This window comes from Homo sapiens, chromosome 12, assembly GCF_000001405.40.
Source record: "Homo sapiens chromosome 12, GRCh38.p14 Primary Assembly".
NCBI lineage: Eukaryota > Metazoa > Chordata > Mammalia > Primates > Hominidae > Homo > Homo sapiens.
The window spans coordinates 53,011,806-53,036,371 of record NC_000012.12 but is presented as its reverse complement, the minus strand read 5'-3'; the positions used below and the strand labels follow the sequence as shown (position 1 = coordinate 53,036,371).

Sequence of the window (24,566 nt, the reverse complement as noted above, 5' to 3'; positions counted from 1 at the left end):
GGGAGGCCAGGGCGGGCAGATCACAAGATCAAGAGATGGAGACAATCCTGGCCAACATGGTGAAACCCCGTCTTTACTAAAAATACAAAAAATTAGCCAGGCCTGGTGGCAGACTCCTGTAATCCCAGCTACTCGGGAGGCTTGGGCAGGAGAATCACTTGAACCCGGGAGGCAGAGGTTGCAGTGTGCTGAGATCATGCCATTGCACTCCAGCCTGGGCAAAAAGAGCGAAACTCCGTCTCAAAATAAATAAATAAAATACAAAAATAAAAAATAAAAAAAATAGAAGGCCAGGCATGGTGGCTCACGTCTGTAATCCCAGCACTTTGGGAGGCCGAGACGGGTGGATCATGAGGTTAGGAGTTTGAGACCAGCCCGTTCAAAAAATTAGTCGGGCATGGTGGCGCTCACCTGTAATCCCATCTACTCAGGAGGCTGAGGCAGGAGAATTGCTTGAACCAGGGAGTCAGAGGTTGCAGTGAGCCAAAATCGTGCCACTGCACTCCAGCCTGGTAACAGAGCGAGACTCCATCTCAATAAATAAATAAATGAATGAAATGCAAGTACAAATCAATTTAGAGGTGGGAGGAAAGACCTTAAAAAATATCACAGTGGCTGGCCCTTGGAATCCCAGCACTTTATGAGGCTGAGACCAGCCTGGGCAACATGGGGAAACCATCTCTACAAAATTTTAGCTGGGTGTAGGCTGGGTGCGGTGGCTGACGCCTGTAATCCCAGTACTTTGGGAGGCCGAGTCGGGTGGATCATGAGGTCAGGAGATTGAGACCATCCTGGCTAACACAGTGAAACCCCATCTCTACTAAAAATACAAAAAATTAGCTGGGTGTGGTGGTGGGCACCTGTAGTCCCAGCTACTCGGGAGGCTGAGGCAGGAGAATGGCATGAACCCGGGAGGCAGAACTTGCAGTAAGCCGAGATCGCGCCACTGCACTCCAGCCTGGGCGACAGAGCGAGACTCGGTCTCAAAAAAAAAAGAAAATAAATAAATAAAAAATTTAGCTGGGTGTAGTGGTGCATGCCTACAGTTCCAGCTACTAGGGAGGCTGAGGGCTGAGGGAGGTGAGGCTACAGTGAGCCATCATCATGCCACTGCACTCCAGCCTGTGTGACAGAGTAAGACCCTGTCTCAAAACAAAATACAAAAAAAACACATCATGGTAAGGGAAGGGAGGTATTACAATTGAACCATTTAGGTTTCCAAAACACTAAAAGTGCTTGATCAACCAGTAATAACACTGCTTGAGAACACTGCTCTGGTGATGATAACATCAAAAAAGGCTGGTCTTGGGACAGCTCACATGAAACTCCAAGCCGTTGACTGTTCTGAATAAACAACATTCAAAGATGTCAAGACATAAAATGAAAATATACCAAAAAAAAAAAAAAAAAAAAAAGAGAGAGACAAACCTAACAACCAAGTATACACTTCAGTGGTAGATTATTAAGCAGATCATCTAGGTCTACTCTGGTACCCATTCCTCAGATTCTTTGGAGCAGAAGATATGAAACTCCAATCGGCCCATGCAACCCAAATAAAGAGTTCATGACTGAATTTAAATATTGCAGGGTCTCTGCATAATTTGGTTATGGATAGTTTATGGAAAACGGCAATAACACGATACCCACCCTGGTCTGACTTACTTCTGCTAGATGTGGTGGAGGTCCCAGTTTGTGATGACTCACTTCCTGTCCTCGACCGTTCCCGTTCCTGAGTTTCTTCACTTCGCCAGCTTGGGTGTCTGTACGAGAGATTCACAAAATACACATTATGCCTGGCTCAGTGAAGGCCACCTTAGACCCATGCTGACCCCTCAAGAACCATCACTTACTTCATCTATATGTGTATATGCATATAAATTTATCTTTCCCTCAAACTATTTGAAAGCTACAGACATTAAGACACACTTTGGCCCTAAATACTTCAGCAAGAATCAACTAATATGGTTAAGAACAGTATCCTACATAATCTACAATACTGCCCTTCTTTACTAATCAACACAGTTCTACAAGCCACTCATTACCAGGCCTAGTTTTTCAGGGCAATTACTTATTATAGTAGGTCTCTAGCCTTTTAGATACAATACCAGCTTTTAATAGTAAACACTTTTGTAATGGACAGGGAACAACTCTTCATTGTGTAAAACTGTCCCTAACACTGCATACTGCCTAACACCCCTGGCCACAGCCCACTAAATGCCCATCAGTGACAACCACTAATGTGATAACGACACAAATTTCCCAAATGCCCCTGGGGATGTAATGCCCCCATTACGAACCACCGGATTCCTAGATGGGATATCCATCAAGACAACACACCTCTCCCGAGGCCGTCGTTCTAGTTTTGGCTCATCCAGCTGACGCTGCAACTTCTCTTGTTCCTTCTGTAGCCGTTCTTCTACTTCTCTTTCTCTAGCAGCTGTGTCAACAGGCTTTGCCCCTCCAAAGATAGAAGCAGCTCGAGTGGACTGGGAGGTACTAGCAGAGGAATCATCTTCCTTAGGAGTACTCCGAGGCTTTAGATTCAGTTTGGGTCTTTGGGGGGGACCTAAGTTAAATGAAACTTTAAGTAATAGTTTTCCAATCACCAGAAGCTGATGGCTGAAAGCCAGATTTCTCAGATATAACTCCTATGAAATGCTACATGAGATTCAAGTTAGTGGCCTAACCAATCCACAGAAGGCAAATAGATCATTAGAAAACAGGTAGTTTAGGCTGGGCATGGTGGCTCACGCCTGTAATCCCAGCACTTTGGGAGGCCGAGGCGGGTGGATCACAAGGCCAAGAGATCGAGACTATCCTGGACAACATGGTGAAACCCCGTCTCTACTAAAAATACAAAAATTAGCTGGGCGTTGGGGCGCGCACCTGTAGTCCCAGCTACTCAGGAGGCTGAGGCAAGAGAATTGCTTGAACCTGGGAGGCAGAGGTTGCAGTGAGCCAAGATCGAGCTACTGCACTTCAGCCTGGTGACAGAGCAAGGCTCCGTCTCAAAAATAAAAAAAAGAAAAAAAAAAAAGAAAATAGGTAGCTCAGGCTGGGCGTGGTGGCTCACGTCTGTAATCCCGATACTTTGGGAGGCCGAGGCGGGTGGATCACCTGGGGTCGGGAGTTCGAGACCAACACAACCAACATGGAGAAACCCCGTCTCTAGTAAAAATAAAAAATTAGCCAGGCATGGTGGTGCATGCCTATAATCCCAGCTACTCGGGAGGCTGAGGCAGGAGAATCGCTTGAACCTGGGAGGCAGAGGTTGTGGTGAGCCAGGATCGCACCACTGCACTCCAGCCCTCCAGGCTGGAAAACAAAAGCAAAACTACGCCTAAAATAAATAAATAAAAATAAATAAAAATAAAAATAGGTGGCATAAATAACCAAGTTCTGGCCGGGCGCAATGGCTCACGCCTGTAATCCCAGCACTTTGGGGGGCTGAGGCGGGCGGATCACCTGAGATCAGGAGTTCGAGACCAGCCTGACCAATATGGAGAAACCCCATCTCTACTAAAAATACAAAATTAGCCAGGAGTGGTGGCACATGCCTGTAGTCCCAGCTACTCAGGAGACTGAGGCAGGAGAATCGCTTGAACCCACCGGGGAGGCGGAGGTTGCAGTGAGCTGAGAACACACCACTGCACTCCAAACTGGGCAACAAGTGCCAAACTCCATCTCAAAAAAAAAAAAAAACAAAAAAACCCAAGTTCAATTACTCTTCTACCACATCCATGATGTAGTACAAGACCACAGGAAAGACTAAAAATGGTAAACATTTAAGTAATAAATTAATAATCTATCAAGACTTCTTTTATATGGGAAGAAATTTTTGACCATCATTAAACTACTGGATGAAAGTATCTTGCTCCGAAATCTGCATGTTAAGAACTAATACAATATGATAGGGAAGATTCTAGTTCTTTATTTTTTTTGAGACAGTCTCGCTCTGTCACCCAGGCTGGAGGGCAGTGGTGTGATCTCAACTCACTGCAACCTCTGCCTCCCTGATTTTCCTGCCTCAGCTTCCTCAGTAGCTGGGAGTATAGGCACGTGGCACCATGCCCAACTAATTTTTGTATTTTTAGTAGAGATGGGGCTTCACCATGTTGGCCAGGCTGGTCTTGAACTCCCGACCTCAAGTGATCCGCTTGCCTTGGCTTCCCAAAGTGCTGTTACAGATGTGAGCCACCACGCCCAGCCAGGAAGACTCTAGATCTTATACCCTTGTCTCTGTGTATAATATAAATTTGGCAGGTGGTTCATGGGGCAAAGCATGTAACACTGAACAAATAAACTCTTAAGGCAGGCAGTCTGATTTCTTCCTCAATTCAAGTTGTCAGAACACTTTCAAGAGAAACCTAAGTGTTTCAAGGAAGTTAAATTTCTAAAAATGATTGTTTGTCCTAAATATTTTGGATATACAAAAGATACAGAGAATATAAAGAAAGCCTATGTATACAATCACCTGGCTTAAGTAATGTAACCTTAACAAAGAGGTAAAACCTCCTGATGACATGACCAGCTGTACTCTGTCCTCTAAATAACCACTAGATGGTGACTTCATCATGCCCACACTTGATTTTATACTTTTACTACATATGCACATAGTACCTGTAGATAGAGGGTACTGTTTAACAAGATCTAAATTTTCTACGAGGGCTTTAAGCCGACAGTTTATATATGTTCCTAAACATATTTTAAATCTGTGTTATAGCCCCGTCACTTTTGTAAGATAAAATAGGGGCTCAGAAAAAGTAGCTCATTTAAGATATTAATAAAAGAACGCAGCCGGGCACAGTGGCTCACGCCTGTAATCCCAGCACTTTGGTAGGCCGAGGGCAAGTGGATCACTTGAACTTGGAAGTTTAAAACCAGCCTGGGCAATGTGGAGAAACCCCATCTTTAGAAAAAATATCAAAATTAGCCAGGCATATGGCACGCACCTCTAGTCCCAGCTACTGGGGAGGATGAGGAAGGAGGATCACTTGAGCTCAGAAGGCTGAGGCTACAGTTAACCATGATTATGTCACAGCAATTCTAGCCTGGGCGACAGAGTGAGATCCTGTCTCAAGAAGAAAAAAGTAAAGGCTGGGCAAACAGTGAAGGCCCGTGTATGTCAGAGGTATAGAGAAAGGGCTATGTTCCAGGCCATGGGGAAACTAGACAGGTCTAAACAGGAGAATAAGGTAATTAGATCTTATGCCAGAAAGACAACTGACAACTGGGGCCAATGTGAAGAACGGAGCAAGAAAGGGAACTCTGTTAGGAGGCAATGGCCAGTAACGTGGGTGCAGCAATGAGGCCTCAACGAAGGTAGCAGCAGCAACTAGAGACAAGAGGGCAAATCTTAGAGGGAATGGGGGGGTAAGAGCAAGAAGAGAAATAAAAAATTAGGTATGCAGCTCTTGGTGGGGAGGTAAGGGACAGTGTGAGAGAGGAAAAGGTCAGAAGTCAAGGAGAACATGAGGCCCACATCTGAGCCTCCACTTTTCTAACTTGTAATTTTACCTATACCACACAGAAGTCTTAGAATTAAACAATACTTGTACAAGCCCTCAGCTCACTGATGGAACAGAGTAAATGGTTAATAAATGTTAGCTATTATTTTTAGGCTTCTTGCTTGAGGAAATCGCTTTTAAGAACGTAGTTTTTTCACTGGGCGCAGTGGCCCACGCCTGTAATCCCAGCACTTTGGGAGGCCGAGGCGGGCGAATCACAAGGTCAAGAGATCCAGACCATCCTGGCCAACATGGTGCAACCCCGTCTCTACTAAAAATACAAAAATTAGCCGGGCGTGGTGGCAAGCCCAGCTACTTGGGAAGCTGAGGCAGGAGAATCACTTGAACCTGGGAGGCAGAGGTTGCAGTGAGCCGAGATCGCGCCATTGCACTCTAGCCTGGGCAACTAGAGAGAGACTCCGTCTCAAAAAAAAAAAAAAAAAAAAAAAAAGAATATAATTTTTTAAAACCTATTTCCTATTTTATTATTTTTTAGATGGGGTCTCACTATGTTGCCCAAGCTGAAATGAGACCTTGGCTAACTGCAGCCTTGACCTCCCAGGCTCAAGCGACCCTCCTACCTCAGTCTCCTAAGACACGGGGACTACAGGCACATGCTACCACGCTCAGCTAACTTTTATATTTTTTGCAGAGATGGGGTCTCACTATGTTGCCCAAGCTGAAATGAGACCTTGGCTAACTGCAGCCTTGACCTCCCAGGCTCAAGCGACCCTCCTACCTCAGTCTCCTAAGACACGGGGACTACAGGCACATGCTACCACGCTCAGCTAACTTTTGTATTTTTTGCAGAGATGGGGTCTCACTATGTTGCCAGGGCTTGTCTTGAACTCCTGGACTCAAGTGATCCTCCTGCCTTGGCCTCTCAAAGTGCTGGAATCACAAATGTGAGCCACCATGGCTGGCCTAAGTTTTTTTTAAAAAAAACAAACATTGAATTATTATTATTATTTTGAGGAAGGAGTAAAGACTTCACCATTTTCTGAGGGAGAAGGAAAGACCTCACTGCAATAGAATTGCCATATGGCTCTGATGAATTCTGTCATCTCACTGTGTTTTATTAGTTGTCCAGATCGATTTTCCTTTCTTGGGGAATCACAGGAGATGATGGATATAAAGCCATTGCCACAAAGTTTAGGACTAACACAAAGATGTTAAAGATAGGAAAAATTTGGCCGGGCACGGTGGCTCATGCCTGTAATCCCAACACTTTGGGAGGCCAAGGCAGGCGGATCACGAGGTCAAGAGATTGAGACCAGCCTGGCCAACATGGTGAAACCCTGTCTCTACTAAAACTACAAAAATTAGCTGGGCATGGTGGCGTGCACCTGTAGTCCCAGCTACTCGGGAGGCTGAGGCAAGAGAATTGCTTGAACCTAGGACGCAAAGGTTGCAGTGAGCTGAGATCATGCCACTGCACTCCAGCCTGGCAACAAACAGAGCAAGACTCCGTCTCAAAAAAAAAAAAATAAAATAAAAAAAGGATAGAAAAAATTCTGGGCCAGATACCATAACCTTTTATATGACATCACTGAAGTTAGAACACAAATGGTGGCCATTTATTAGTATTTTATAACAGGTTAGATTTGTAACACAGTTTACATTTTATATCTTATAGTATTAGGGGCATAATTTTAGAATAGGTGCACCAAAATCTCACCTTTATAATTAATGAACATCAATTATTGTGGTATAATGGTACAGAAAGCAATCCTTTTTTTTTTTTGAGACAGTCTCACTGTCGCCCAGGCTGGAGTGCAGTGGTGCGATCTCAGCTCGCTGCAACCTCTGCCTCTGGGCTCAAGCAATTCTCCTGCCTCAGCCACCCGAGTAGCTGGGATGATAGGTATGTGCCACTACGGCCACCTAATTTTTGTATTTTTAGTACAGACGGGGTTTCACCATGTTGGCTAGGCTGGTCTCGAACTCTTGACCTCAAATGATCTGCCCACCTTGGCCTTCCAAAGTGCTGAGATTACAGGTGTGAGCCACTGCACCTGGCCTTAATGCTTCGTTTTTAACCCCATAGTACCAATTATGGGCTACAGGACTATGTTTAATCTGAATTTCATTTCCCTTACTTGGAAAATGGAGCTAAAACCATCTGTTTTAAGTGTAATTTACTGAGATCACAACATAACAGTATCTGGCAACTTTTTTTTCCATTTCTACTGTTTATTCAATAAATTTTAACTGAAAAATCTATCTGTGAAGGCATATGAGATGAAAACAATTCGACTGCTGTGTTTCCACTGATGTCATCCTTAGCCAATGCTTTTTTTTTTTTTTTGAGATGGGGAGTCTCACTCTGTCACCCAGGCTGGAGTGCAGCGGCGCCATCTCCACTCACTGCAAGCTCTGCCTCCCGGGTTCCCACCATTCTTCTCTCTCAGCCTCCCTAGTAGCTGGGACTACAGGTGTCTGCCACCACACCTGGTAGAGACGGGGTTTCACCATTAGCCAGGATGGTCTCGATCTCCTGACCTTGTGATCTGCCCACACCTGGCCAGCCAATGCTCTTTCTACTATGCTTTGCTGCTTCCTGTACAATGTGCAAATTATATTTGTGCCCAACTCAGTAGTTCGTAACACAATCACAAATTTTCCGTAGTTTTCCCAGTTTCTGCTCCATGAAGTACGTAAAAAGAAAACTATTACCTCTATCATCACGCCTATAATCATCCCGAGAGTAATCATCTCTGGAGCTCCACGACCGATCATCCCGTCTGTCATATCGGTCTTCATAGCGGTCCCCGCCTCCTCTGTAGTCATCATCCCTGCGATACCCACTGCCAAATGCTCTTCTGCCACTGCCTATCCGGGAATCATAGCCTGTAAATATATCCCAAATTATAATCATCACAGCGGAGGGGGAAAAAAAAAAGGCAAAGTTACTGAAAGAGCAATTCGACATGTTTTACAATTACCTCTATCATAGTCTCTGCTGCCTCGGTCATCATAGCGATCCCGGCCACCATATCGATCCATATCCCGGCGTGGGCCATCCCGATACCCATCCCGATACCCATCCCGATACCGGTCTGAATCATAACGATCTCGATACTCTAGAGGAAACAGACAAGTAACACCATCCCCTTTTCTCTGACACCATTAATAGAAACACGGTAAGCTATCAGTCCAATTTGGAAGAATCTGTTTATTTAAATTTTCTATCTGATTTCTTCAAAAAGTTTCCCTGGTGAAATAATTGTTGCTCAGCTAATAATTTGGGAAGGGTGGGTTGGAAATTAAAAAATCCCTAAATATTCCATAATGAATTTCCAGAAGGAGAAGAGGTTTACATGCAAAAACAAAAAACAAAACAAAGCACAAGACACTAAAACAATACAGTTGGGAATCTCCCATGTTTGATCCCAAAGACCACTTATTTTTTAATTAAAAAAATTTTTTTAGCTGGTCACGGTGGCTCATGCCTGTAATCCCAGCAGCACTTTGGGAGCCCGAGGTGGGCAGATCACGAGTTCAAGAGATCGAGACCATCCTGGCCAACATGGTGAAACCCCGTCTCTACTAAGGATACAAAAATTAGCTGGGCGTGGTGACGCACACCTGCAGTCCCAGCTACTTGGGAGGATGAGACAAGAGAATGGTGTGAACCCGGGAGGCGGAGGTTGCGCTGAGATCATGCCCCCGCACTCCAGCCTGGCGAGAGAGTGAGACTATGTCTCAAAAAAAAAAAAAAAAAAAATTTTTTTTTTTTTTGAGAGACAGTCTCTCTCTGCTGCCCAGGCTGGTCTTGGACTCCCGGGCTTAAGCAATCCTCCAGCCTTGGTCTCCCAAAGTGCTGGGATTATAGGCCTGAGCCGTAACACCCAGCCTCAAAGATCACTTTAAGAGGCAAACAAAATGAGAAACAATATATGCAACATATGACTAACAGGACATAATTTTCTATTGAATTTTAGGAGCTTAAATCAATTTCTGCACTGCTGATCATAATTTTAAATGGTACAAATACACTTTGGGAGGTTGAGGTTGGTGGATTGCCTGAGCTCAGGGGTTTGAGACCAGCCTGGGCAACATGGTGAAACCACAACTCTATCAAATATACAAAAAATTAGCCGGGCATGGTGGTGCAGGCCTGTGGTCCCAGCTACTTGGGAGGATGAGGTGGAAGGATCACTTGAGCCAGGGAGGCAGAGGTTGCAATGATCCAAGATTGTGCCAAGGCACTCCAGCCTGGGTGACAGAGTGAGACTTCCTCTCAAAATAAATAAATAAATCAATAAATTAGTATAAATACTGAAAGTTGTATTAGAACTATGCATGAAAAGATTTGAAGTCATGTATACCCTTCTTGACCAACAATTTAATTTCTTGAAATTCACTGAGGAAATAATTGGATGTGTGATAAAGATACATGTACAAAGACATTCATTGCAATGTTGTTTATGTTATAAACTATATTTTACACACACATGTGCATTTCAGTATCAGAGGACCCTAAATACTAGAAATCTGTATAAAGAAACGTAGTAGCTCAGATAGCAAACTGTGGGTAGCGTTATGTTGTTTGTAAAAGGGATAGCTGCTATTTAGCTCCAGCTGACTGTTGCTAGGATCTTCCAATTTTCTGAGAGAAGCTGGCAACCCAGATTTTAAAGTTAAAAAAAAAATCTGAATTTCTAAATATAAATTAACTAACTAAAACAACCTACACGTTTTAAGAGCTGATAATTTATGTATGGGGGACAAACAGGGATCTTTTTCTTTCTCTTTTTTTTTTGAGACGGAGTCTCACTCTGTCGCCCAAGCTGGAGTGCAGTGGCACAATCGCGGGCTCACTGCAACCTCCACCTCCCGGGTCCAAGCGATTCTCTTGCCTCAGCCTCCCCAGTAGCTGAGGTTACACGTGTCCGGCTAATTTTTTTTTTGTATTTTTAGTAGGGACAGGGTTTCACCGTGTTAGCCAGGATGGTCTCAATCTCCTGACCTCATGATCCGCCCGCCTCCGCCTCCCAAAGTGCTGGGATTACAGGCGTGAGCCACCATGCCCGGCCAGGGATCTTTTTCTTGTGGCTGCTGTCTTTTAAATAATGATTTCATTTTGGAAACCACATAATTTTTACTGACCAGACATAACATTTCCTGGTATTATAAACTTTATATATTAAAGAACATGCTAATGTTAGTAAAATGATTATAGAAATGATCTAAAACAGGACACATATAAGAAAATCAGCCCTGTGTTTATTTTGAAATGTGGTTTTAATTTCTGGAGATGCGATTTACACTTAATTTTATTTGGGTAATACTGAAATTATGATAAGCTTGTGTTTCCTGAGAAAGCATAGATCCATGCTGGAGAAAAGCAGCACATGCTATTACTGACATTTCATAGGAATACTGAGTGTAATACCCCCCAACACCCCTCGGGGTTCTCTTTTTGGCCTAATGCTTGGGACAGGAGTCTCTGGATCTTTAATTCAGGTTAACTAAGTTGACTTTGGGGCAGCTTTGGATAACAACAGCACACTCACTCGTTATCCATTCTGCTTGCTCTAAATTCAAGGTTTCAGGTGAGAAAAGTCATGCCCCTGGACTCAAAACAGGACCCTTGGTCTGATTGTCTGCTTTTTCTTTCAAGAGCCATTTCTTCCTGTTAACAATAGAATCTCTTGCATAAATGCTGAAGTTAATCACCTCACATAGTTCTCCCCAAGGCTTTGCTGTGTCACAAAGTCATGTAAAAAGTCAGATATAAACTTGCTGATTTATCCTTCTTTCAGACCTATGACCCATTCTTCTTCCTTCTACATCTTAAAAGGTTAAGGACTCTCCTCTAAAAGGAATTATACATATCCCTTACTGCTTCCCCAATTATATTTAGTACAAAGCTCAAAAGGTACCTCACAAAATTAAAATGCTTGTGCTGGGAGCGCTGGCTCACACCTGTAATCCCAGCATTTTGGGAGGTCAAGGCAGGCAGATCATCTGAGGTAAGGAGTTAGAGACCAGCTGGCCAACGTGGTGAAACCCCATCTCTACTAAAAAATACAAAAATTAGCCAGGTGTGGTGGTGCGCATCTGTAATCCCAGCTACTCAGGAGGCTGAGGCATGAGGAACACCCTGAACCTGGCAGGCAGAGGTTGCAGTGAGCCAAGATTGCCACTGCACTCCAGTCTGGGCAACACAGAGAGACTGTGTCAAAACAAAACAAAACAAAACAAAACAAAGAGCTTGTAAATTTAAGTTGGTCTGTTTTTACTTAAACTATTTCAAACATACAGAAAAGTAAAGACACCATTATAACAAACTTATGAACCTATTACTTAGGTTTAGTGAATGTCATATTTTGCCATGTTTGTTTTTTGTTTAAAAGAAATATGTTACAGACTAAAAACAGAATTTTCCCTATCCCCACCAACAATTAAAAGGGTGGTTAAATTACCATGCGTAGCTTTATAATTTTACAACTTATGCATTAATACTACATGGTATTGTTTTCAAATTTATACACAATTTTTTTCCCCTTAATGTAACAGGTTTTGAATTTTATCCCTGTTGTTATGCTATTAAGTATTTGATTACAGACAAACCACTATTTATTTATTTTTACTAGGTAGTAGCTTCTTTCCATTTTAAAAATAGTGTGGTCTACTTTTGTGTATTTTAATAAAGTTGCATAATTTTCCCCATAAAGGTCTTTGTTAAAGTGATGTATGTAATTAATCTCTACTCCTACCCCATGATATTTCCCACTCACCTATCTTTCCGCACCCCAACTGTTTAATTATTCACACACTGTCTCTTCCCTCCACTATAATAATGTATGCCCAATAAAGACAGGATTTTCTTGTTTTTGTTCACTGCTGTATCTTGAGCATTTAAGTGAATCAATTTTTATTAGAAAAAAATTACACTGCTGTATCTTTGTTCACTGCTATATCTTGAGTATTTTTAAAGTGAATCAATATTTTTATTTTAGAAAGTTACATTTTAGGCCAGGTGCAGTGGCTCATGCCTGTAATCCCAGCACTTTGGGAGGCTGAAGCAGGAGGATCACCTGAGGTCAGGAGTTCGAGACCAGCCTGACCAACATGGAGAAACCCCATCTCTACTAAGAATACAAAATTAGCCAGGCATGGTGGCACATGCCTGTAATCCCAGCTACTCGGGAGGCTGAGGCAGGAGAATCGCTTGAACCTAGGAGGCGGAGGTTGAGGTGACCTGAGATCATGCCATTGCACTCCGGCCTGGGCAACAAGAGCGAAACTCTGTCTCAAAAAAAAAAAAAAAAAAAAAATTTTACATTTTAATTGTTTGCTACAAGCATATAGTAATGCAACTGATGGGCCAGGCGCAGTGGCTCACGCCTGTAATCCCAGCACTTTGGGAGGCCAAGGCGGGCGGATCATGAGGTCAAGAGATCAAGACTATCCTGGCCAACATGGTGAAACCCCATCTCTACTAAAAATACAAAAATTAGCTGGGTGTGGTGGCGCGCGCCTGTAGTCCCAGCTACTTGGGAGGCTGAGGCAGGAGAATCACTTGAATCCAGGAGGTGGAGGTTGCAGTGAGCCAAGGTCACGCCACTGCACTCCAGCCTGGGCGACACAGCGAGACTCCGTCTCAAAAATATATATATATATCAAAAAGTAATGCAACTGATCTTTGTATGCTGCTCTTCACTCAGCAATCATGCTGAACTCTTATTTCAAATAGCTCACTTTGTAGAATCTGTTGGATTTTTTTTTTTGAGACAGGGTCTCGCTCTGTCACCCAGTCTAGACCTCCTGGGCTCAAGGAGTCCTCTTGCCTCAGCTTGCTGAACAGCTAGGACTGCAGGTGCGTACCACCACGTCAGCTTTTTCTTTTTCTTTTTGGTAGACAGGGTCTTGTTTTGTCGCCCAGGCTGCTCTCAAACTCCTGGCCTTAAGCAATCCACCTGCCTTGACCTCCCAAAGCGTTGGGATTATAGCCACCATGCCCAGTTTGGGTTTCTTTATAAACAATTGTCTCCAAAAAAAGAGAAATGTCTGTCCCTTTGTTTGGTTAAGTTTTCAAAAAAAATTATTAATTTATCAAATTCGTTTCCTGCATCTATCAGTTCTTTCAGATACTATCCAAAATTTTTCTTAATCTGCTTTCCTCCTTCTATCTGTTAATGTGATCTGATCATCTGTAACACATTTGTCCTATTACTAAATAGCCTCCCAAAGCACAGAGGAAGCTAACTTCATAAAAACAAACTTACTGTCTCCAAAGCTATCATCACCTCTTCTAGGTGGGTAGTCATCAAAGCTGTCTGTAGCAGGACGAGCCCTCCAGTCTGTATCTGTTTTGTCAGAATCCCGATTTCTATCACGGCCAAAAGAACGATCATCCCTGTCTACAGATACATTAAAACAAAAACCGTAAGTTATCTCATAAAAACTTTGCCCAATATTTCTCACACATAGAAAACCCCCATTTTACCCTATTTTTCACTTTCACGTCACACTGTCATCCCAGTTACCTCAGGCCCCATAAGTACATGCTCCAATTCAACCCCAGGTGGCTCTTTTCCTCCCGTTTTTTCCTATTGGTTTAATGCTTAGCTATCTCAAATTCTGTATGGGCCAGGAGTCCCTGAAACATATACAAATTAGGTCCCCTTTGTGACCAACGTGCTGTTAGGCAGCTAATCTATTTATCATCTATTTAATGTTCATCTAGATCAATCAGTCTTCTCAATCTTGACATGCATTTTGGGCTGCATAATTCTTTGTTGATGGGGACTGTCCTATTCCCTATAGAATTAACCCCTGGATTCTACTTATGTCAGCAGCACTCCCTCCAATTGTGACAACTACAATGTCTTCAAACATTGCCAGAAGTCCCCTGTGGGGCAAAACTGATTGAAAACTGTTACTGTAGATTCAGGCAGGCCCACCACTACCCCTATTCAAATTTTCTGGGAAAGGATGGCTTGGTGTCATCCTGGGACCATTACCAAACAGAAATCTCTACCAGTTTCCTTACCTTTATCCTGTGCTTGATCAGCAACGTCCACTCGAATTCTCCTGTTACCTAGAGACTGAGAGCATAGGACCATATTAACCAACCTTTTGCCCCATTATGCACAAATCCCTTGAGTGACCTTGAACGTCTGGGCATAGCAGAAGCACTAGGGGAAGGAAGATAAAGGAAAACACTGTAATCTAGCTAACACTCCAATTTGTGGGCTAAAGAGTCCTTTAAAAGACTTAAAAGTTAAACAAATTTAAGCTGGCCTTGAATATTAGGTCAATTATACTATTTTTACAAAGCTTAATTTCACAGAATAGAATTAACTTTTTAACTATCCAAGGTAATTTGTCAAGTGTAGTAAATTAAAAATAATTCTCACATAACTAGCTGAATAAAAGGCATATTTGGTGCCACAACAATTATTTATCAAAATTTATAGAAGCCAGGTGCAGTGGCATGTACCTACAGTCTCAGCTATTTGGGAGGCTGAGGCTGGAGGATCACTTAAGCCCAGGAGTTCAAATCCAGCCTGGGCAATATAGCGAGACACTGTCTCTTAAAAACAAAAACACCCAACACATTTATAGAGCCTCTACTACTACTATGTACCAGCAAAATTGCATAAAGCATGCTTTGTCTACAATCTTAGGTTCTTTCACTCAGTATTACCTTCAGATAAATCAGTTCTTCCAGAGATACCCTCTGACTTCCCTTTCCCACATCATTATTTATATACTTTGAACCCAATTAATTCTATTGCTGATTTTTCCTCATTTCATAGTAGAATCTACAGTTGAAGGATAACAATGATTTTTAGTTAAAAATACCCAAAACTATATTAAACACCACTATAATGAAATCTCTAGTAACAAAGTAACTCTTAACTATGGACCACAACAATATATTAATAGTTAATCTAGTAAACATCAAATAGTTAACAATTGCATGGTATTCTTTTTCTTATCCAGACTGAGTAAAGTTAGAGACCAGTAATGTTAATAAAAATCTAAAAATAATCCAGTAAGAGTAACTCTGGAACAAGATTAGACCTTCATATGCATTTAACTAAGTACATTAATTTTTATCTCTATTTCACACTGACTACAGGTTATCATGATGGTAATCAATTATGAGGCAGCAAAACTATTTCTAAGAGGTGTTGATTTCAATCATGTCATATGGCAAAATAGGACTACAGAAATATGGCACAAATGGCACTAGAAATTGCCTTATCAATAAACAATAAGGTGTTTTTGGAGTTAAAGGAGGAAAAAAGTCTTTTTTCTTCTGAGATATAAGCCCCTCAAGTCCTGGGACAGGAAAACCTTTGTGGGCAGTGTTGACAAGCAGAAGGACTAGATATTTATTGTCACTCTCCTGTAAAATATTCCTTTGTAGGAAATGTTTCCAAATCCTCTTAAATGAACAAATATACCATTACAACACTTCCCTGAAAATGAGATATGCCTTTAATACTAAACAAACTTGATTTTTCTATTTGCCTTTATCAGGCCAGATTACTTTGAAAAAGCAATGCCATAAGAGTTGAGGCAACACTGTGGGTAAATCAGTGTAAGACTTAATTAGAGACCTGGTGTGTGGTGGGTTTCTTCCACAACTTTCCACCTAAGTACCTATCTAAATTATTGGGGCCTACTGAATTTGCTGAAGTGTGACTTGCTAGATGTTCGATGTTAAGTGATACACTGTTAAATAATGCAGGCCTTTATTTGTAGATATGGGAATCTTTGAAGTGAGCCTCTCAACCTAAAAAATACCAGTTTGATCAATAAACATGAGATTTGTGAACTTACACCCCTCATATCCCCACTCTTATTTTCTTTACCTCTTCATTGAGACTCAGGGCACTGAGCAGGGAATCCAGGTCCTCAAATTCAGCATAACCAAAACCTTTCAACCTCTCTGGATTGCTGGGTTCACGTGGTAAACGCACTGCACTGATCTGAAGGAATAAGAATCAACAACAAAGTTTCCCAGCATTCTTCTTCATTTGTCATTTTTTGAGAGGACTACAAAAGCATTACTGTATGTGCATGAATTTTTCTGAATACACAAGAACATGGTTGTCTCAGGAGGAAAACTGATGCAGAGGGATAGTAGAAACTTTACTAAATGCCCTATTATACCTTCTGAATTTTGAACTGTATGAATTTAACTCTAAAAAAAAAAAAAAAAAGATTAATTCAGGCCAGGTGCAGTGGCTCATGCCTGTAGTCCCAGCACTTTGGGAGGCCGAAGCAGGTGGATCCTCTGAGGTCAGGAGTTCAAGACCAGCCTGACCAACATAGTGCAACCCTATCTCTACTAAATACAAAAAATTAGCTGGGCATGTAATCCACTGTACTCCAGCCTGGATGACAGAATGAGACTCTGTCTCAAAAAAAAAAAAAAAAAAAAAAAAGAAAAAAAAAAAATATATATATATATAATTTTGATTTTATTTTTTTTCTTTGAGATGGTGTTTCACTCTTGTTGCCCAGGCTGGAGTGCAATGGCGCAATCTCGGCTCACCACAACCTCCGTCTTCCAGGTTCAAGCAATTCTCCTACCTCAGCCTCCCAAGTAGCTGGGATTACAGACGTGTACCACCACGCCCAGCTAATTTTTGTATTCTTAGTAGAGACAGGGTCTCACCACGTTAGCCAGGCTGGACTCGAATTCCTGACCTCAAATGATCCACCCGCCTCAGACTCCCAGAGTGCTGGGATTACAGGCGTGAGCCACCATTCCCGGCCTTAAATTATATTTCTAGTTGTTTTTTCAACAGCAACTGCCCATTCCACAATTAGTCTTTTTTAGACATTATCCTCAATATCTAGTTAATTATTACAACTTTTACACTTACATTTAATCCTCGAAAGAATTCCTTAATTGACTCTTCTGTAACATCATAGGGTAGGTTTCCTAGAAAAGCAGTGTAGGGTGGCGATTTGGGAAGACGGCTCCGGTCGATATTGGGTTCCCGAGCAGCCCGTGGAGCAGTGGGAAGGATGGAACGGTCAATTGGAGGCGCCCTATACACATCGTCATCGTTACTGTGCCAAGTGGTCGAAACTAGGATAGAGGAATGAATGTAAGAAATTAGAAGAAACTTCTCTCACTACTGTCATAGAACAAGAGGACCCATGTTAATTGCCAAATATTAAACATGCTATACAAGAAAACCAGACCAAAAAAAGTGGGGGTTCAGTAATAAGGGCACTTTACGAAGAGAAGCTTCTGAGATTAATTATGACACCTTAATCTTTATGTAAGCAAAGAAATATTATTCCATAAATACAACTCTTTATGGAATATTACTGTGTGCCAGCTACTTTATATTCATTATATCCCATCTTATCTTTTTAACAGTCCTGTGAGGTTGTCCCCCATTCTACAGAAAAGCAAACTCAGATTTCAGACAGTAATTTGCCCAAGGTCACAGACGGTAAAGCTAGGATTCAAACCTGGGTCCCTCTTACTCCAGGTATATTTAACCACTACTGACAACTCTTGTATTCCTAGTGGTGAGTTTGAAGTTGAGTATTTTTCTGCATGGTCTATCCTCCCTTAAAAACAACAACAGGCCTGGCTCGGTGGCTCACACCTATAATCCCAACACTTCGGGAGGCCAAGGTGGGTGATCACCTGAGGTCAGGTTTGAGACCAGCCTGACCATTATGGTGAAACCCTGTCTCTACTAAAAATACAAAAATTAGCCAGGTGTGGTGGCATGTGCCAGTAATCCCATCTACTTGGGAGGCTGAGACAGGACAATCTATTGAACCGGGAGGCGGCAGTTGCAGTGGGCCAAGATATTGTGCCACTGCACTACAACCTGGGCGACAGAGTGAGACTCCATCTGAAAACAAACAAACAAAAATATCACAACAAAAATCTTTTCCTACAGCACTGTCCATGAATTTGTACTTCAGATACCAACACCTATGGGAAGTACGACCTATATAAAATTTCCTGTTTTGGCCGGGTGCAGTGGCTCATGCCTGTAATCCCAGCACTTTGGGAGGCTGAGGCAGGTGGGTCATGAGGTCAGGAGTTCAAGACCAGCCTGGCCAAAATGGTAAAACCCTGATTCTACTAAAAATACAAAATTTGCTGGGCGCGGTGGCGGGCACCTGTAATCCCAACTACTCAGGCGGCTGAGGCAGGAGAATCGCTTGAACCCCGGGAGCAGATGTTGCAGTGAGCAGAGAGTGCGCCACTTGCACCCCAGCCTGGGCAATAGAGACTCTGTCTCAAAAAAAATTTCCTGTTTTTAGGAATTATGAAAACAGGTCATAGGAAAAAATATTCTTTCAGCATGCAATAAACGATTTTCAGGAAAAAAACAATGGTAATGAGATTTATGTCATACCCGGTCATTATAAAACATAGCTCCTTATTATTCCTGGCGACTCCCTGAAGGCACAGAACTTGTCCAATTGACTCTTCTTTATTTTCCCACCATAATTACTGTTCTCACTCCTTTTCCTCAGACCATTTTCGTTTACCCAAGGACACTCTGATTTTATACTAATGACACCTGGAACTAATTATTCCTTGGCTCTGAGTAAACATAGCTTACAGATTACACTGAAACATCACTTTTTTTTTTTTTTTGAGATGGAGTCTCGCTCTGTCTCCCACGCTGGAGTGCAGTGGCATGATCTCAGCTCACTGCACCCTCCGCCTCCCAGGTTCAAGCAATTCTCCTGCCCCAGCCTCCCGAGTAGCTGAAATTACAGGCACATGCCACCACGCCCAGCTAATTTTTGTATTTTTAGTAGAGATGGGTTTTCACCATGTTGGCCAGGCTGGTCTTGAACTTCTCATCTCATGTGATCTGCCCACCTCGGCCTCCCAAAGTGCTGGGATTACAGGTGTAAGCCATCGCGAGCAGCCTGAAACATCACTTTATGAGGACCCCATAGAATTTTAGACCTAAAAGGAATTTTAAAAGATGATCTAGTTCTTACTTTTAAAATGAAGAAAATGAGGCCCAAAAGAATAGTAACTTAAGAAGTCTGTTAATGCAAGAACAAGAACTAGCAAAGCTCTCTTAAATGACCACTTCAGTCTTCACTGCAAAGTCTGACAGCCCAAACCTCAGATTAAACCTTAGATTCTATAAAATATGTAAGATTTCAGGTGCTAAAAAATGAGTAAGTTCTTTTCAGATTACAAACGATGTGAATTATTATGTAATAGGTTTTGTCTAGAAAATAATAAACATTCCAAACACGATGACAAAAGAAAAGTTACCATCTCCTTCCAGGTCATCCGTTTCATCAGCCCAGCTGACTGGTTTGGAAACATAGGTGCTTCCTCCACCAGTACCCCCATCCTCAGCCAGAAAGTCTGTTAGGGAGATAGTCTTCCCCTTCTTATTCTTCTTTTTTGCTGTTTTAAAAGGCAAGAGAAAGATTATTCACCAATACTCAGGTATTTACAGAGTTGTACAATGCAATATTGTAAAACATTATTTAGAAAGAAATAACATGGACGCTCCTCAAATGGTTAAATTATGGCATTTCCATGAAGGGGTACTATGCAGACATAAATAAGAAATTTAAAAGTTGCAGAATACCTATTATGTGTAAACACATGTTTACGTACGGAAAAGGGTCTGAGTGTTTGAGATACACCCTGGAGAGTATGTTTGGAGTGTGGGGGCAACCTTTTATTTTCTACTATATTCACTTATCATTTGAGATCTTTAATTTTGTAACTACTTCTATTCAGTTACTACTTTCACTGCTCTTTGGATAAAAAAGATCAATAAAAATTCGTATCTCACATAACATATTCAGTATGGCAGTTTTGAAGACTGTTTTGACACTTGTAAACAAACCATATAGGGAAGGAATCACAACTGTCTTTTTTTTTTTTTTTTTGAGACAGAGTCTTGCTCTTGTTGTCCAGGCTGGAGTGCAATGGTGCCATCTCGGCTCACTGCAACCCCTGCCTCCTGGGTTCAAGCAATTCTCCTGCCTCAGCCTCCCGAATACTTGGGATTACAGGCACCCGCCACCATGCCCAGCTAATTTTTTGTGTTTTTAGTAGAGACGGGGTTTCACCATGTTGGCCAGGCTGGTCTTGAACTCCTAACCTCAGGTGATCCTCCTGCCTCGGCCTCCGAAAGTGCTGGGATTACGGTGTGAACCGCCACACCCGGCCCCATTTTTTTTTTTTGAGACAGGGTCTTGCTCTGTTGTCCAGGCTGTAGTGCAGTGGTGTGGCCACGGCTATCTGAAGCCTCAACCCTCCCATGCTCATGTGATCCTCCCACAGCCTCCTCAATAGCTGGGACCACAGAGGCACACTACCACGCCCAGCTGATTTTTAAAAAGTTTTTTAATTCCCTATGTTGCCCAGGCTGGTCTCAAGTATCCTGGAGGATCCCAGGCTCAAGTGATCCTCCTGCCTCAGCCTCCCAAAATGCTGGGATTACAGGTATGAGCCATGGTGCCTGGCCACAACTATCAATTTACAGAAAAGGAAACTAAGTCTCAGAGAGGTTAAGTGAAACACCAGATGTCTGTAAAGTTACAGAGACATTAGATGGCTAGGCTGAAGATAAAACCTAAGTTTTTTTCATACGAAGTCTAAGGCTCTTTCTATATACCAAGGTATCCTTGCATCTCAGCAGCTTATTCTATGTCAGGTTATCAAAACCACAGTAAAACGTACTGCTATTTGAAAGTGTTCAAATGTTAACAGTCATATTCCCTAGATCTCTCTGCCCTCTAGAAAAAATGTCCTCCTCTACTATAACAACACTGCATATGAGGATGTAATGCTAAAAGGAAAACACACGAAAACCCTAATAACCAACACATTTAAGTGTTTCCCACAGTTATGGAATATTTAGTAATCTCCAAATGGCTCAACTTAGTGAACTGACACTGCTCTTTCTTTGTGGTCCTCAGAACTTCCGAGAAGTCACCACCAATCAAGAGCTGATTCAGAAGAGCAGAGGGACTCAGTGAAGTTCCAGAACTGGCCTGATAGCAGCCACTACATGATTAAGAAAAAAACAAGCAGCTTTGTTGTAAAAAAGATTGGCTTCATGGTTTTTATAATCATGAATTTCTCCTCCATGTTCCAATTGTCACCTGATTTTTAATCCAAGAATATCAAACTTGATGTACCCCTTTGTTTAACTGAAGGTTGCTTTCTCACTTGGTATCCCTTTCTTTCAAAATTTAACTTTCAGGAAATAAAGGTAACCAGTTTGCTATGAATGTTAACACATAGCCTTCTGGACACAATTAGAACCTGAAGTATTACGGTCTCAATGTGCAAACCAGATGAACCCGGCTAAAATAATCAAAGTTGACCACGAACATGGTATTTTCTGTATCTCTCAAGTGACTTAATATTAATCCAGCTCCAAAAGTATTGTTTATGATCAACCAGATCACATTTTGAATCCATCCTACGCTTTTTTTTTTTTTTTTGAGACGGAGTCTCGCTTTGTCATACAGGCTGGAGTGCAGTGGCGCGATCTCAGTTCACTGCAACCTCCGCCTCCCAGGTTCAAGCAATTTCTCCTGCCTCAGCCTCCCAAGTGGCTGGGACTACAGGCGCGTGCCACCACGCCAGGCTAATTTTTTTTTTTTTTTTAGTTTCACAGTGTTAGCCAGGATGGTCTTGATCTCCTGACCTCGTGATTAGCCTCCCAAAGTGCTGGGATTACAGACGTGAGCCAACGCGCCCGGCCTGCTTTTTCTTTTTTCTTTTTTTGCAGTGGTGCAATCGTGGCTCACTGCAGCTTTGACCTTTTGGGCTCAAGCAATTCTCCCACTGTAGCCTCTTGAGTAGCTGGGACTATAGGCATGCACCACCATGCCCAGCTAATTTTAAAATTTTTTGTAGAGGCAGGGGTCTTGCTACACTGCCCAGATTGGTCTTCAACTCCTGGCCTCAAGTGGTCCACCCGTCTCAGCCTTCCAAAGTGCTGGGATTAGATGTGAGCCACTGCACTTGGCCTTATTCCACAGCTTTCAAAGAATACGGTTACAGAGAGGTTGGGTCTCATAGCACTTTTATTGCTGCAGCTCATATGCAAAGGTTTTTTTTTTTTTTTAGAGGGAGTCTCACTCTTGTCCAGGCTGGAGTGCAGTGGCGCCATCTTGGCTCACTATAACCTCTGCCTCCCAGGTTCAAGTGATTCTCCTGCCTCAGCCTCCTGAGTAACTGGGATTACAGGCATGTGCCACCAAGCCTGGCTAATTTTTGTATTTTTAGTAGAGATGGGGTTTCACCATGTTGGCCAGGCTGGTCTCAAACTCCTGACCCCAAATGATCCACCCACCTCGGCCTCCCAAAATGCTGCGATTACAGGCATGAGCCACTGTGCCCAGCCTCATATGCAAAGATCTATGGGAGATTTTAATAAGCGAACACGAGTAAGACATGAGGTAAACCACTTACAGTGCGTGGGCTTATTTTAGACTTTTTCATATCATTTAATTCAAAAATAGTGTCTGGGATTAATATGATGCTAGCTACAGATCCTTACCCTCATGGGGCTTAATCTAGTACCATCAGCTAATATCCAATTATTAACCTGTCCTTCCACTGGGAGGATAAAAACAGAACTGGTGGTCAGTACAATAAGGTCAAGTTCAACAAAAGAACATTAACAATCTGAATAAGGTATCCCTTTCCTCTTTGTTCTATATACGTATCTTCTACCAAAACAGCAGAATGTGGAATTAATCTGCCCTTTAGTCCGATTTGGCTTAAATCAACTTTGTAGATCACAGTTTCTCAACTCTCACCCCTTGACTCCTTTGACAAACAAGTTTCTTCTTTAACGTTATTTGAAATTTCCAAACAAATTAAATATCATGACTAAAAAATATTAAAAGCACTTTTAAATCTTAGAATGTCTTTTCAAATCACAAGTCTCCCCCTCCTCTGATTGCCACCCACTCCCAGGCCCTCTGGTTAAGAAATTACTGTTGGGTGTGGTGGCTCACGCCTGTAATCCCAGCACTTTGGGAGGCCGAGGCGGGTGGATCACGAGGTCAGGAGATCGAGACCATCCTGGCTAACATGGTGAAACCCCGTCTCTACTAAAAATACAAAAAAATTAGCCGGGCATGGTGGCGGGCACCTGTGGTCCTAGCTACTCGGGAGGCTGAGGCAGGAGAATGGCGTGAACCCGGGAGGCGGAGCTTGCAGTGAGCTGAGATCGTGCCACTGCACTCCAGCCTGGGCTACAAAGCGAGACTCCGTCCCCCACAAAAAAAAGAAAAAAAAAAAAAGGAAAAAAAAAAGAAATTACTGTTGGATAAGTCTTTTTTTTTGAGACAGAAATTTTGCTCTTGTTGCCTAGGCTGGAGTGCAATGGTGGAATCTCGGCTCACCGAAACCTCCGCCTCCCGGGTTCAAGCGATTCTCCTGCCTCAGCCTCCCAAGTAGCGAGGATTACCGGCATGCACCACCACACCTGGCTAATTTTGTATTTTTAATAGAGATGGGGTTTCTCCATGTTGGTCAGGCTGGTCTCCAACTCCCAACCCCAGGTGATCTGCCCGCCTCTGTATCCCAAAGTGCTGGGATTACAGGCCTGAGCTACTGCGCCCCACCTGTTAGATGAGTCTTAAAAAAACAGGCTAAAATTCCTTACAAGATCTTCAACTTATTTAACTGTAGCAGCAGCACTGACTCAGTCAAAATATAAGCAGCAGGTTTAAAGGAATTAGCCCTTGGAAAGCAAAATCAATAAACCTAAAGTAGGTGCCCGTGTTTGTTCCACTCCGTTTCATTCCAGTTAACTGAGAAAAGATGTTATCTAAATCCTCCATGCCCTTTGCTCCCTCAATACCTAGGCCCATTACATGTTTAGATTTCAACAGTGTTCCCTCTGCTTTATAAGTAAAGCACTGTTTAATGCTCCAGGTTTATCAATCCTTTGCAATTCAACAATGAACTGGTCCAATTCTTTAATTTTCTCTAAATCTTATGTGAACTGGTTAAAAAGTTAACAAATCAATCACCTCACAAAACAAAACCTGTCCCAATTATTTATACATGGTCTACAGTGGGGAAAACAC

The 24,566-nt window shown here is 42.4% G+C and overlaps 1 protein-coding gene across 3 annotated transcripts in view; it reads right to left on the bottom strand.

Annotated features, from left to right (window-relative positions):
• Positions 1 to 24,566, bottom strand: part of EIF4B (eukaryotic translation initiation factor 4B) — a 35,760-nt gene that overhangs the window by 5,844 nt on the left and 5,350 nt on the right. Inside the window, exons 2-10 of one of the 3 annotated variants that reach the window (NM_001300821.3) lie at positions 19,762 to 19,899; positions 17,366 to 17,574; positions 16,346 to 16,462; positions 14,512 to 14,566; positions 13,745 to 13,879; positions 8,453 to 8,590; positions 8,184 to 8,357; positions 2,338 to 2,566; positions 1,648 to 1,760 (exon numbers count right to left, since the gene is read on the bottom strand). In NM_001300821.3, coding sequence (NP_001287750.1) covers positions 1,648 to 1,760; positions 2,338 to 2,566; positions 8,184 to 8,357; positions 8,453 to 8,590; positions 13,745 to 13,879; positions 14,512 to 14,566; positions 16,346 to 16,462; positions 17,366 to 17,574; positions 19,762 to 19,899 — 1,308 coding nt within the window. The remainder of the gene's footprint in view (positions 1 to 1,647; positions 1,761 to 2,337; positions 2,567 to 8,183; positions 8,358 to 8,452; positions 8,591 to 13,744; positions 13,880 to 14,511; positions 14,567 to 16,345; positions 16,463 to 17,365; positions 17,575 to 19,761; positions 19,900 to 24,566) is intronic. The other 2 variants (NM_001417.7, NM_001330654.2) reach the window with 2 other exon arrangements.